Source organism: Homo sapiens, chromosome 1 (genome assembly GCF_000001405.40).
Source record: "Homo sapiens chromosome 1, GRCh38.p14 Primary Assembly".
NCBI lineage: Eukaryota > Metazoa > Chordata > Mammalia > Primates > Hominidae > Homo > Homo sapiens.
This window is the reverse complement of record NC_000001.11, coordinates 46,607,066-46,619,232: the sequence shown is the minus strand read 5'-3', so window position 1 is coordinate 46,619,232 and position 12,167 is coordinate 46,607,066. Positions and strand designations below refer to the sequence as shown.

The following is a 12,167-nucleotide window of genomic DNA, read 5'->3' as shown; positions in this document are numbered from 1 at the left end:
TGAAGAATCTTCCAGACCATGATCTCTGACCACAATGCAATATAATTAGAACTCAACAAGAAAAACATAAACCTCCCATAGGCTGAGAAACTGAAAAACATACTTTGAAATCATTCAAGAGTTAAAGAGGAAATTACACTGAAATTTATGAACTATTTAGAACTGAATGATAAGGAAAACACAAGCAGTTTCCAAATCATTTCCCCTATGAAGTCAGCCCTGACCCCACATGGCTCCTCAGATGGCTCTCCACCCTCTACCCATTTCTACGCCCTAGGAGGCTGACGTCTATGGGCTGCAGCAACAGGTTCCCTTGTTCTTAGCTTCTGGGAGGATTCAGCTAGTGGGGGAAACCTGGCCAGAGATCAGACGGAGGGAGAGAGGGAGGAGAGTGAGGCCTCTTACTTGCCCCCTGTCCTTCCCTGTATGATTGCTGTGAGCTGGGTATGCCCCTCCACCTTAGGCCACAGCAGCGCCCTCCTCATAGCTCCCACTTTCACCATTCCTTCCCCACACTCCTGCAGCCTGGGGTTGACAGCCTCTGCTCTTGTGAGCCCTTTGGTGATACACTGTGTGGTTTCCCTACACCTTGACCATACCTGTAAATAATGTCTTCATTAAACATACCCATTCTGGGTGTTCCATGTGCTTCCTGCAAATACCCCGACTCTTACAAAGTCCGTCAGTCCACAACCACATTCTCACTTCTGGGTGACTGAGCTGTGACCTTGTGTATCTCTGTGTGTTGTCCCCTTTACTGACCTGTCAGCACCTGAGGTCGGCAACCAGGTCAGCTTTATCACCCAGTCCCCTGATCTGATATGAGTGGAGAGTTATACTCAATAAAAGATATTGATTAGGATATCAAATAAATAAAGAAGCATAGTTTAATTTGCTCCATAAGCAAGTGTTTGTTTATAGGGGATTCAGGGCAGAGAGTTAAGAGTCAGACATAAAAATACAGAGAACTTTAGACTGGGGCAAAAATTGGTGCTCAACAAAAGAACATACCCACAGTTCTATGAGCTGGGATTCTTTCTTTACTTTTATTTTAGGTTCAAGGGTACATGTGTAGGTTTGTTATATAAGTAAACTCTGTGTCATGGGGATTTGGTGTACAGATAATTTCATCACCGAGGTAAGCAGCATAGTACCTGATGGGTATTTTTGTCTCATCCTCCCTCCTCCCGCCCTCCACTCCCAAGCAGGCCCCAGTGTCTGCTGTTCCCCTCCTAGTATCTATGTATTCTCATTGTTTAGCTCCTACTTGTAAGTGAGAATATGCAGTATTTGGTTTTCTATTCCTGTGTTAGTCTGCTTAGGATAATGGCCTCCAGCTCCAGCCCATGTTGCTGCAAAGGATATGATCTGGGTTAAGGATCTAGCGTGTTCTCATGTCATCCAGCAACAGAAGGTCCAGACACAAGGGAGGTCCAGTGTGCCATGGTAAATGCCCACCTCTGGCCTCCAGCTCTCCCCTACCCGCATCTACTCACCTCCCACCCCTCCAGAGTGGCTTCTATGGCTAAGCTCTCTGCTTTGGGCTTCCTACCCTAGAAAGCCTCCAATCTTCCCTCCCATCCCAGACAGAGCAGCCAACTGGTCCCTGGGCCTGGGGGCCACGGTGTGCATTGAATGCTGGTGGGATATCTGTCTGTCCTCGAAGGAACCCAGGTGGTAGGGAGAGCAGATCAGATCTTGAGTGGTTTGGATTTGTCAGAAGGAAGGAGGGAGAGAAGGTATTCTAAAATGGAACAGCTGGGATAAGGGTCTGGAGATAAGAAATGGGGTGACTCTGGGTAAGGAGCAAGGAGAATCAGCCCAACCTGAGCCAGGCCCCCTCCCTGGTGAGGAGATGAAGTTTGTGATTTGAGCGCTCTTCTGGGGCTTGTCCCTCAGGGGTGAAGGACTCAGCTCATGATTCCCAAGGCGTTCATTTATTCCTTCACTCACCCATTCATTCATTCATCAAGTGGGTTTTGAGTTCCTGCTATGTGCCAGGAGCTGAGGATATGGGAGTGGATAGGACGGTCCCGATCCCTTATTGGGTCCCGGGACAAGTGTGACGCAGACGATTCTAGGAGGGCAAAGAAACCACCCTTATCTAGCAGCTCTTGTTTCTGCTCCAGAAGAAGCCGAGCGTTTTCCCATTTTACTGTCTGGGAACTTGAGGCTGCCTCCTTGGTGGAGGTCCAAGGAAGCACCGAGAGGGCGGGCAGCTCAGTTAGTCCTTTGTCCAAGGGGAAGCTGGGAGCCCCATATGGACTTTCCGGGAAGGTGGGGGCGAGTGCGTCTGTGTACTGGAGTGGAGGGGAGTCCCCTTTCTCCGCCCCTCCCCGCCCCGTGGCCGCGGCGTGGCGGGGCCGGGGCGGAGCTGGCGTCGCCCGGGGCAGGAGGGCAGCCGCGGCCGGCAGGACAGGCAGACGGACAGGCTGACAGGAGAGAGAACAGGCACTGCGGGACCTGCAGGAGAAAGGCGATCCTGTGGCTGGGAATGTGACCCCACGGCCAGAAGAGGACCCGTGAGTGTGCGCCGTGCCCCTGCGGCCTCGCCGCGCACCCCGCCCGCCTGGCTTCCACTTTCATTTCTTCGGCCGTCCTGGCGTGGCACAGTCCGGAGGAGAGTCCCGCCCGAAGGCAGGCTGGCCGCTGTCCTGAGGCTGGCGTCCGAGGCTCAGAGCTTCGAAAGTTGCGGGGGGGATTGTCGGGGTGGGGGAGTACGGGGCAGAGGGGAGGGGTTGGGGGGCGTGTTTTCGGGGAGCGGAAATGTCAGGCGGGCTCCTCTGGGTCCTACGACCTTCCTGGCCCTGGGAGCTGGTTTGAGGTTGCAGGGAAGCCGGGGGTGGGCGTGGGTGGCTGCGCGCCGCGAGGAGAGCGTGGAGTCTTCGCCTCTACTTTTTCTCTTCGACCTCTGTCCTAGAGAGAGTCCCAGGATGGATTCTGGGTTCAAACTGGGGCCATCCTCTGGCCCAGATCCTGGGCCAGGCCCAAGGAGTGGTAGATGTAGCCTAGCAGGGGGCTAAATATCAGAAACAGGTAGGGTCAGCCTGCTGTCTTCATTTGAGAAGCCCAGATCCGCACCCAGGGAACGAGCAAGGCACTGCCACTCCAGGAGTGAAAGGATAGCCATCACTGGGAAATGGGGGCTAGGACGGGGAACGGCAGTGGTTCAGGGAGAGACAGAGGTTCTGTGACAGATAGAAACTCAGTGAGGGCATGGGGGTGGGGAGTGAAGGGAGTTAACCCTGTGGCTAGAAGAGCACCTGCCCTGCACCCACCCCCTGAGCTTACATTTTCCTGGAAAGAGACCCAGGCCTTGAAGTTCCACAGGAGTAAGGTGGAACTCTAGCTCACTGGTCAGGACACCCCAGTTGCTGTGCGGAGTCAGTGTGTTGGGGACAGGAAGCAGGTTGGGCTGTTTGGTGGAGAAGATGCTTCCACTGTCCCTCCACTCCCCTCCTCTTCTCTGTCTCCACCAGACCATTGATGAGCCAGTGCAGGAAAATGGTCTTTTACTCTTGGTCATGAGCTGAGCCCCACCTTATCCCAGTTCCCAGTTCTGCTTGTAACTTGCTATGTGGACACAGGCTCCTCAAGTCCTCTTTTTAGGCCTCAGTTTCCTCATCTGGGCCTCAGTTTCCCCATCTGTACAAGTGAGTTGGGCCAGCTGATCTATCAGGGCTATTTTAACTCTAAGATTCTAGTCTAAGCTTTCCTTAAAGCCTGAACACTGACTTTGTGCCAGGCCTTGTCCTAAGCTGGGGGTGGGTTGGGGATGGAGTGGAGACTGCAATGACCAAAAGCAGCCTCTACCCAAGGAGAAGGAGATCTGAGTTCAGGAGAGGAGGCTGTGGGAGGAGGTAGCAGCCAATCTGAGGATGTGTGGTCAGGCAGGTGGAGGGATAAGAAAACATGCAGAGGCAAAAGAGTGGGGGCGTGTTCAGGAATCAGGAAGAAGCCCAGGGTGGTTGGTGTGGGGAGGTGGGAAGTGGGGCAGGAAAGGTAGGACAAGGTGCTGAATGCCAGGGTGGGGGCCTATTTCTAACTGTCATAAAGGGGGCCATGCAATGTGGGGAGCCCAGGAGCCCCGCCTAATTGCAGTGTGAGGGATTTTGGAAGCACTTGCCCCAAGCAGAGTTTAAAATGGAGATGGCAAATGAAGCGCAGAAATCTCTTTGCTCTGGAAACTGGGGTCCCACCCTGGGGACTTCTTTGGGTGAGAAGTCGAAGAGTCGGGATGGATGAGATGACCTTTCACATCTGTGAGTTTTTTTCAAGAGAACAAGTTCCTGCTGAATGGCCTGTTTCTACTCTCCAAGCTGCTCTCATTTTACCAGACTGCCCCCATCCTGGCCTGCCTTTGTGGGTTCAAGGAAGGACCTTTGTCTCAAACAGCTCCCCAGCTAGTTTGACTTCTTGCCAGAAGTAATACCCCTCCCCGAAATATGTGCCATCCCTTTGCTTTTACCCAGGTGTCACCTGGTTCCCACCCTCCCTTCCCCAATCCTGTCCCAGGGTTACCAGAGATGTGAGAAAGGACAGTGCTCCAGCGTCAGAGGTCAAGCCCAGGCTTTGGCCATAAGCAAGCCTCAGGGTAGGGCTAAAGGCTAGAGTCAGGGCTCACACTTGCCAGAGCCCAGGTCAGAGGTCAGCCAGGAACCAGAATGCAATTCTTAGCTTATACTCAGCCTTAGTGCTCAGTCTAGGGGCAGGGGCAGTGTGCTTAGTGGGTGGCTAAATTCTAGTTTTGGTAGGTACATGGGTCTGCATTTCCCAGTAGCTCACACACTCACAGTTGAGATGAGATGACTCAGGTCTTAGAAACCTAGCTATAGCAGAGTGACCCAGGACCTGGATGGGCTAAATCCATGGTGATACAGGGGTCACCCAGTAAGCCAGTGGTAGAGCTGGGACTAGAACCCAGGACTCCTGCCTCTGAGCCTAGGGCCCTGATCACTGTCTCCCAAAATTTGTTCTGAATCTGGGATCCTTAAATTCTAGGAGGCAAAGTAAATTTGCCTGAGCTCTAGATGGGCCCTCCTGGGTGCATCTGACTATACTCTTCTACCTCCCAGTGCCAGGCACATAGTAGTTGCTAGAGGAATGTCTACTGAGTGTCAGGTGCAACGGGAGGAGCCAGTGGCTTGTTCAGATTTGGGGCTGGAGGAGGCTGGCTTGAGGGGAAGGATCTCCAGCTGTTGTCAGAGGAAGCGACGCCCTCATTGGCCTGCCGCCCTCCCCCTCCTCCAGTGCTTGCAGCCACACTCAGAAGCCGCCCAGCTGGCAGCGGGAGGGCCCTTTCCTCTTTCAGGGTGAAAAAAAAGGAAAGGACATTTTTGGTAGAAAAGTTCCCTGCTGCTCCCTGGGAATCCCCGGTGGCCGGATGGACTACGGGATATCCCAGAGGAAGCCGAAAGCCACCCCCGACCCCCCTCCACCCTGCCCCCAGCACAATGCTGCGAGGCTCTCCCACGTTGCACCAGCTGGCCAAGGGGGCTCCCAGAGGTCATCTCGTCCAAGCCCCTGTCTGCTGGTGGGCCTGCAGGGAGCCTCTGCGACCTCTCTCGTGACCAACAGCAAGTCTGAGGGGCACCTGTTTAGAGCCCAGGCCCAGCTCTGCAATGAAAGCAGAAAAGAGACAAAGCAAGATGGGAGGACTGTGGGGGCTTAGCAAGGGGGACTAACATAGCCTGGAAAGAGGGCGGGGCACTGGACCTAGGGGCTGAGGACTTAGATTCCAGGCAGAGGATGCAGAGGTTGAGCAAAGGCTGAGAGGTGACAGGGAAATGATGAATTGGGAAGTCAGAGCCCAGATGATAAGGCCTTGACCGCCAGCTCCCCTATGCCCTTGTCCCTGGCAGGGTATCCTCAGGTCCGAGCCCCTGGACAGCAGCCCCAGGCCCAGCTGGCCATGGCCCTGTGCCTGAAGCAGGTGTTCGCCAAGGACAAGACGTTCCGGCCGCGGAAGCGCTTTGAGCCGGGCACACAGCGCTTTGAGCTGTACAAGAAGGCACAGGCCTCTCTCAAGTCGGGCCTGGACCTGCGCAGTGTGGTGAGGCTACCACCCGGGGAGAACATCGACGACTGGATCGCCGTGCACGTGGTGGACTTCTTCAACCGCATCAACCTCATCTACGGCACTATGGCGGAGCGCTGCAGTGAGACCAGCTGCCCGGTCATGGCCGGCGGGCCCCGCTACGAGTACCGCTGGCAGGACGAGCGCCAGTACCGGCGGCCCGCCAAGCTCTCTGCGCCGCGCTATATGGCATTGCTCATGGACTGGATCGAAGGCCTCATCAACGACGAAGAGGTCTTTCCCACGCGTGTTGGTGAGTGTCACCTGGCGGGGAGGGAGCCACTGGGAGCCCATTCCACAGATGAGGATTTAGTTTGATATAGACACTCTGCAGGGTTGGGGGTTGATTTTCATCCCCATTTTGTGGAAGAGGAAAGCGAGGTTGAAACAGGTTAAGTGCCTTGCTCAAGGTCAAGCATTTGCTAGGACTTCCTGACTCCCAATTTGGGGCTTTTCTTTCTTTTCTTTTTCTTTCTTTCTTTCTTTTTTTTTTTTTTTCTTTTCTGAGACAGAGTTTCGGTCTTTCACCCAGTGGTGAGATCTCAGCTTACTGCAACCTCTGCCCCCCGGGTTCAAGCGATTCTCCTGCCTCAGCCTTCTGAGTAGCTGGGATTATAGGCACCCACCACCACGCCTGGCTAATTTTTGTATTTTTAGTAGAGACAGGGTTTCACCACATTGGCCAGGCTGATCTCGAACACCTGACCTCAGGTGATCCACCCACCTCAGAGGGCTTTTCTTTTCTAAAGCATAAGTGGTCCCACCAAGGACCACTCTGGCAAGACCACAGATGCTGTGATTCTCAGAACCTTCCAGAACAGTTGCCCCGAGGTGTTCATAGCTGATTTGACCTCCAGCCTCCCGGGGTTCCCTCTGACTCCTGGCCTCAGGAAAAGGAGGGAGTTGGTGGTTGGGTGGGCCCTGGTGGTATCATCACCTCAGATTGGGGCTCTGAGGACAGAATTTTCCCTTGCCAGGCACAGGCTGTGGGGCCTTTTCTTATCTCAGCTGGGCAGCCTGGGCGGGTGAGGGTAGGGAGGGGAGATGAGTGATGTCACCCAGGCACTGCTTACCCACCCGAGGGCAGCAGGAGGGGGTTGTTGGTCCAGGAGCTGAGCAGGCATGACACTGTGTTCATCACACCAGCCGCACCTGTAGCTGGGCCCAGCCCCCACCTGGCCTGGAGCTCATCTCTGCAGAGGCTGTGTGGATCAGCGGTGGGTGGGGCAGGGTGGTCAAGCCCTGAGGGGAGAAGTCTGAATGCTGAAGGAAGCTGGGCACTGAGTCACAATTCAATGCCCACGGCTCCTCCCCAGCCAGTGGCCTGCTGTTTCTTGCACTGTCATGCCCGACAAGGAGCACCTTCATTTTACATAGGAGGAAACTTGAGGCTACTGAGGGAAAGTGCACTGAACTGGGAGGAATTCCGAACTGGGGCTCAGATCTGTGGGAGCCCAGGACCCCAAGTCTACATGGGCAGGATATGTCTGAGGAATCTGGGCTGGGCTGGAGGGGCTCAGAGGGAGGGAAGGCTCGACCCCACCTGGGAATGGTGAGGAAGAGGAGGGGGTCTACAGAGCCGGGTGGGCCAGCTGTGGACCTGAATGTAGATTCATAGTCCCTGCTGGCCATACCTCCCTGGGCCTGTGGGACTCCAGGTATCGATGCCTAAAACCCTGGGTGACTGCCACACAGAGAAGAGGGCATAAGCCACCAAGATCTCTGCCTTGAGCATGGGGGACTATGCAGAAGCGGGGCCTTTTTCATGGGTCCCAATATCTGTGAGGGTCGCTGCAGTGCACTGCAAAGAGGGTCTGAATCCAGTCTCCATTCTGCACTGATTAATACTTATGTGGCCTTGGGCTAGCAGCTTCACCTTTATAAGCACTTCTGTTTTATCATATCTAAAGTGACAATCAGACACATCAGGCGAATTGTTCTAAGGATTAGAGGCAAAAGGTGTGAAGGGCCCAGCACAAGGCCTTGCTCATAAATGGAAGGTTCTTCGTGTTGTTGAATATTTGAAGGAATGAGGGCTGTCTGAACTAACTCTTGCAGAATTCATAATTTCCAGGATTGGGGGTCTGAGGACTTCTGTGTGAATGTTGAAAAGAGGAGGGACATGGGGTGGGGCTAGAGAGGGAGGTCAGGATAAGATCATGAAAGGCCTTGAGCAGCGTCCTGCTGGAAAGTTAGGACTTAATCCTGAAGGCCCAGGGATTTTTTAAATGGACCCAGTTGTTGAACTCTCCTTGGAGTTGTATACAAGAGTGTGATGTGAGCATCTCTGCAATTGCACATATTTCTGGGGAGAGTTTAGGTCGTAACTTTTATCATAGTCTAAAAAGGGTTGGTCAGTGACCCCCACAAGTTTGCAAAGCCCTGCTTTAGGTAATGGGAAAATGTGGAAGATGATGTATATTCCAGCAGGGGAGAGCCACAGTCAGATTTGTGCTTCATTAGAAAGAAAAGTATGGCCAGGCACAGTGGCTCATGCCTGTAATCCCAGCATTTAGGAGGACGAGGCAGGTGGATCACCTGAGGTCAGGAGTTCAAGACCAGCCTGACCAACATGGAGAAACCCTGTCTCTACTAAAAATACAAAATTAGCTGGGCATGATGGCACATGTCTGTAATCCCAGCTACTTGGGAGGCTGAGGCAGGAGAATACCTTGAACCTGGGAGGTGGAGGTTGCAGTGAGCCGAGATCATGCCATTGCACTTGCCTGGGCAAGAGTGAAACTCCGTCTCAAAAAGGAAAGAAAAAAAGAAAGGAAGAAAGAAAGAAAAGTATGGGAGAAAGTCAAACCACTCTCTGTTTTCCAAAGGGAAGTGTACTAAAAAGTGTGCTGGGGAAAAAGCCATCCTGGTTGCCTGTGTGTGGGAGGGAAAAGTTGAGCAGAGCTTTGGCACCAGGATACTGATCCCCTTCTGCCCTCCCCTGCCCTCTAGGAGTTCCCTTCCCTAAGAACTTCCAGCAGGTCTGCACCAAGATCCTGACCCGCCTCTTCCGAGTCTTTGTCCATGTCTACATCCACCACTTCGATAGCATCCTCAGCATGGGGGCAGAGGCGCACGTCAACACCTGCTACAAGCACTTCTACTACTTCATCCGCGAGTTCAGTCTGGTGGACCAGCGGGAGCTGGAGCCACTGGTGAGGCCAAGCCCTACCACCCTCCCCTACCAAGGCTAGCCTCTGAGTTTTCACGTCCAAAAGCTGCCTGCTTTAAGTAACTCCAACGCCCAAGTAGATGAATTAGGGGAAGGCAATTCATTTAACAGTGAATTCTGTACTTCAATAGAGAATTCATTCAAGTGTTGGTTTACAAACCCAGATCTGCAGCCTAAGAGTTGGGGTTGCTGGGGGAAGGCCAGGCTCAGACAGAAGAGCAGCTAGGCCCTATGGTTTGGGAAGGGATTGCCTAGTAGGCTGAGCTCTAATTGACCCCTCCCTACCTTGTGTCTCTACAGAGGGAGATGACAGAGCGGATCTGCCACTGAGCCCAGGTCTGGACTTTTTTGGCCATCAGATGGACGATCTGAACATAGGGTGGCTGGCAGAGGGGACCCCCAGGAGCCTGAAGGAATCTGAAGGCACTGGAATCACTCCACACACCCAAAGCCTCTGGACTTCTGGTTCTCAGGAGTCTGCCTACCTGTCGCCCTGACCGCTTGTGGATGGAGAAGGGGAGAGCATCTAGGCAGGCAAACAGAAGGGAAGTGGAGTTAAACCTCTGGCATGAAGTCTGGGAGTAGGGTAGGCTAGGGGGTTTCTTCTATGACACTTGACCCTTCCATGCTGGTTCCCAAGCCTATTGGAGGAATGTGGGTGTGGCCGAGGTGATGGCAAGAAAGGTGCAAGAAAGTGAGCAGTCTGCCTGTGAGTGAGCACAGATGCCGGGGTGTGTGTGTGTGTGTGTGATTTTCACTGTGGGGTGTGTCTGTGAGAGCTAGCTGCCTTACCCCTCCTTGGCACATAGTAGGCCTTCCATAAATGTTGGATGGATGGATAAATAGATTGGGACCATCAGACCATGGGACCATCAGACCATGACCACTGTAGGAGTGATGACAGCTCAGCGTCCCCACTCAGTGTATCTGACCATGTGTGTAAGTGCACAAAAATGTGGTTGTAGATGTTGCTCTACATTCAAACCTTCCAGGCTACACTCTTCCATCAGCATGAGTCCTGGAGAGCTGGGGGAACGTAGGAAGAGGAGCCTTGCCTTGAGTTCCTAAACCGACCCACTGCAGACACAGGCTCTGATTCTCTTACCCAGAGATGCCCATGAGCTGACATTTTACTCATCCCTCTGCCTCCAAGAAGGCCTGTATTATACGTGTCCTCCTGGGGGTTGGAGATGATCCCTCAAGTACACAAAGGTCCCCTGGCCCTTCATCTGGGAATCATATACTCCACTCTAGCTCCCAGAATCTACAGACCTGGCTCCTCGGATCTGAAGCCCAGCACAAAATAATCTCCCCGTCCAAGGAGCTTGTGGAACTTGAATTGGGAACTTTGGAGTCTTGTCTCCCATCCCAGCACATTGAGGATGTAGTTGGTGAATGGACTCTTCCAGGCATGGAGATCCTCCATCCTAAAAGTACCTGCCTCCTTCCCAGCCATCCCTGACACATTCCAGCCAGTTGGATCTCACAGCACAGCTATCCACAGGGAGACTGGGATGTTCACGCAGCACTCCATTACTCAGTACCTCCATACCCAGCCCTATACGCAGACCCACAGGTGGGGAAACTGAGGCAGGAACAGGGTTCTGCCCTCCCAGAGCCTCCACTCTGGGATGCCAGAATGGAAAGCCAGAGGGAACCTGAGAATCATCCAGTCTTACTGTCTCAATGTACATACGGGGAAACTGAAGCCAGGAGAAGAAGAGGGAGAAACTGTCCAGGGCCTCACAGGGAGGCATTCATGGAGCTGGAGAAACCAGGGATCCTGACCGCAGGGCCCATCAATTGCTACATAGAGATACACATGGAAAGAGGGTTTAACAGACCCTCTCTAGGACACAACTGTTTCTGCTTTGAGCAATAATTTCTAACCTGAGGCCAACATGTCCCACTGCCCCTTGGGTTGGCTGGGGTTGTTTCCTGAGCCAAGCATCCAATATCATGCCCCACTCAATGGCCTAGAAGCTGCCTGTACTTTGGGGAAACAGATGGAGCTCTTGGGCCCAGCCAGCTGGGCCTGGGACTTCTGCCTCTGCCGCCTCCAGAGTGGCCTGGCAGCTTTGCCAGAGGCTGTGGAGCGAGGGTAGTAGGAGCTTTTCCCAGAGTGCTGTGACTTGCATGATGGATTCTAGGCTGTGGCAAGGGCTGATTTCTGGGATAGGGGGAGGGTTGGAAAATTTATTTTTATGAAACAGAGGGAAGACTTTATTGTTGTTATTTTTGGTAAAATAAAAGGCAAACTAAAGCAGCCACTGGTGGGAAGCGGTGATCTGGGTGCCACATGGCTCTTGGCAGACCATGGAAGGAACTGAGCCAGAATGGGGCTGGGAAGGCTTTTTGTCCTGAGATACTGGACCATGTGGAGGGCTGGCTGGTGTGGTCATGTCTGGCCCAGCTCTCTAGGGTGGGGACACAAAGATTCTCCTGGGGCTCTGGAAATTCTAGACCGAGCTAGGCTAGGACGCTTGGGGTGGAGAAGCCTGGCTTTTCTTTGCCTTCCGGGAACTCAGTCTGATAGGAATCGTTCCTTGTTTCATCTCAGGTTGCCTGGCATTGGCTATTCTTTTTTTTCTTTTTCTTTTTTTTTTTTTTTTTGAGATGGAGTCTTGCTCTGTCACCCAGGTTGGAGTGCAGTGGCGCGATCTTGGCTCACTGCAAGCTCCGCCTCCTGGGTTCATGCCATTCTCCTGCCTCAGCCTCCGGAGTAGCTGGGACTACAGGCACCCACCACCACGCCCAGCTAATTTTTTTGTATTTTTAGTAGAAACGGGGTTTCACCGCGTTAGCCAGGATGGTCTCGATCTCCTGACCTCGTGATCTACCCGCCTCGGCCTCCCAAAGTGCTGGGATTACAGGCATGAGCCACCACGCCTGGCCTGGCATTGGCTATTCTCACTCCAG

General features: G+C 53.4%; 1 protein-coding gene across 2 annotated transcripts, besides 3 other annotated features; it reads left to right on the top strand.

The window, feature by feature from the left end:
* Positions 2,248-2,527: a silencer, noted in NCBI's record as "silent region_849". NCBI's record gives its function as "represses an Ori minimal core promoter by ATAC-STARR-seq in GM12878 lymphoblastoid cells {active_cell/tissue: GM12878}" and the evidence as "EXISTENCE:reporter gene assay evidence [ECO:0000049][PMID:35858748]".
* Positions 2,422-11,514, top strand: MOB3C (MOB kinase activator 3C). Of its 2 annotated transcripts, none has more exons than NM_201403.3 (4): positions 2,422-2,522; positions 5,862-6,329; positions 9,029-9,231; positions 9,549-11,514. In NM_201403.3, exons 2-4 carry the CDS (start codon positions 5,912-5,914, stop codon positions 9,576-9,578), a joined length of 651 nt encoding a protein of 216 aa, NP_958805.1. In that variant the 5' UTR covers positions 2,422-2,522; positions 5,862-5,911; the 3' UTR covers positions 9,579-11,514. The 2 variants fall into 2 exon arrangements, with proteins under 2 accessions (NP_958805.1, NP_660322.3); NM_145279.5 differs by lacking the exon at positions 2,422-2,522 and adding an exon at positions 4,100-4,262.
* Positions 2,928-2,997: an enhancer, noted in NCBI's record as "active region_1005". NCBI's record gives its function as "activates an Ori minimal core promoter by ATAC-STARR-seq in GM12878 lymphoblastoid cells {active_cell/tissue: GM12878}" and the evidence as "EXISTENCE:reporter gene assay evidence [ECO:0000049][PMID:35858748]".
* Positions 5,349-5,972: an enhancer, noted in NCBI's record as "H3K27ac-H3K4me1 hESC enhancer chr1:47078933-47079556 (GRCh37/hg19 assembly coordinates)". NCBI's record gives its function as "activates a minimal SCP1, AML or CMV promoter by ChIP-STARR-seq in naive H9 embryonic stem cells {active_cell/tissue: H9 hESC(naive)}" and the evidence as "EXISTENCE:reporter gene assay evidence [ECO:0000049][PMID:30033119]".

Bases quoted from the DNA above. Each gene is read 5' to 3' on its own strand.
- MOB3C (NM_201403.3), top strand. From the start codon at position 5,912: ATGGCCCTGTGCCTGAAGCAGGTGTTCGCCAAGGACAAGACGTTCCGG. The intron at 6,330-9,028 runs GTGAGTGTCACC...CCTGCCCTCTAG, and splicing joins GGTCTTTCCCACGCGTGTTG to GAGTTCCCTTCCCTAAGAAC. The intron at 9,232-9,548 runs GTGAGGCCAAGC...GTGTCTCTACAG, and splicing joins AGCGGGAGCTGGAGCCACTG to AGGGAGATGACAGAGCGGAT.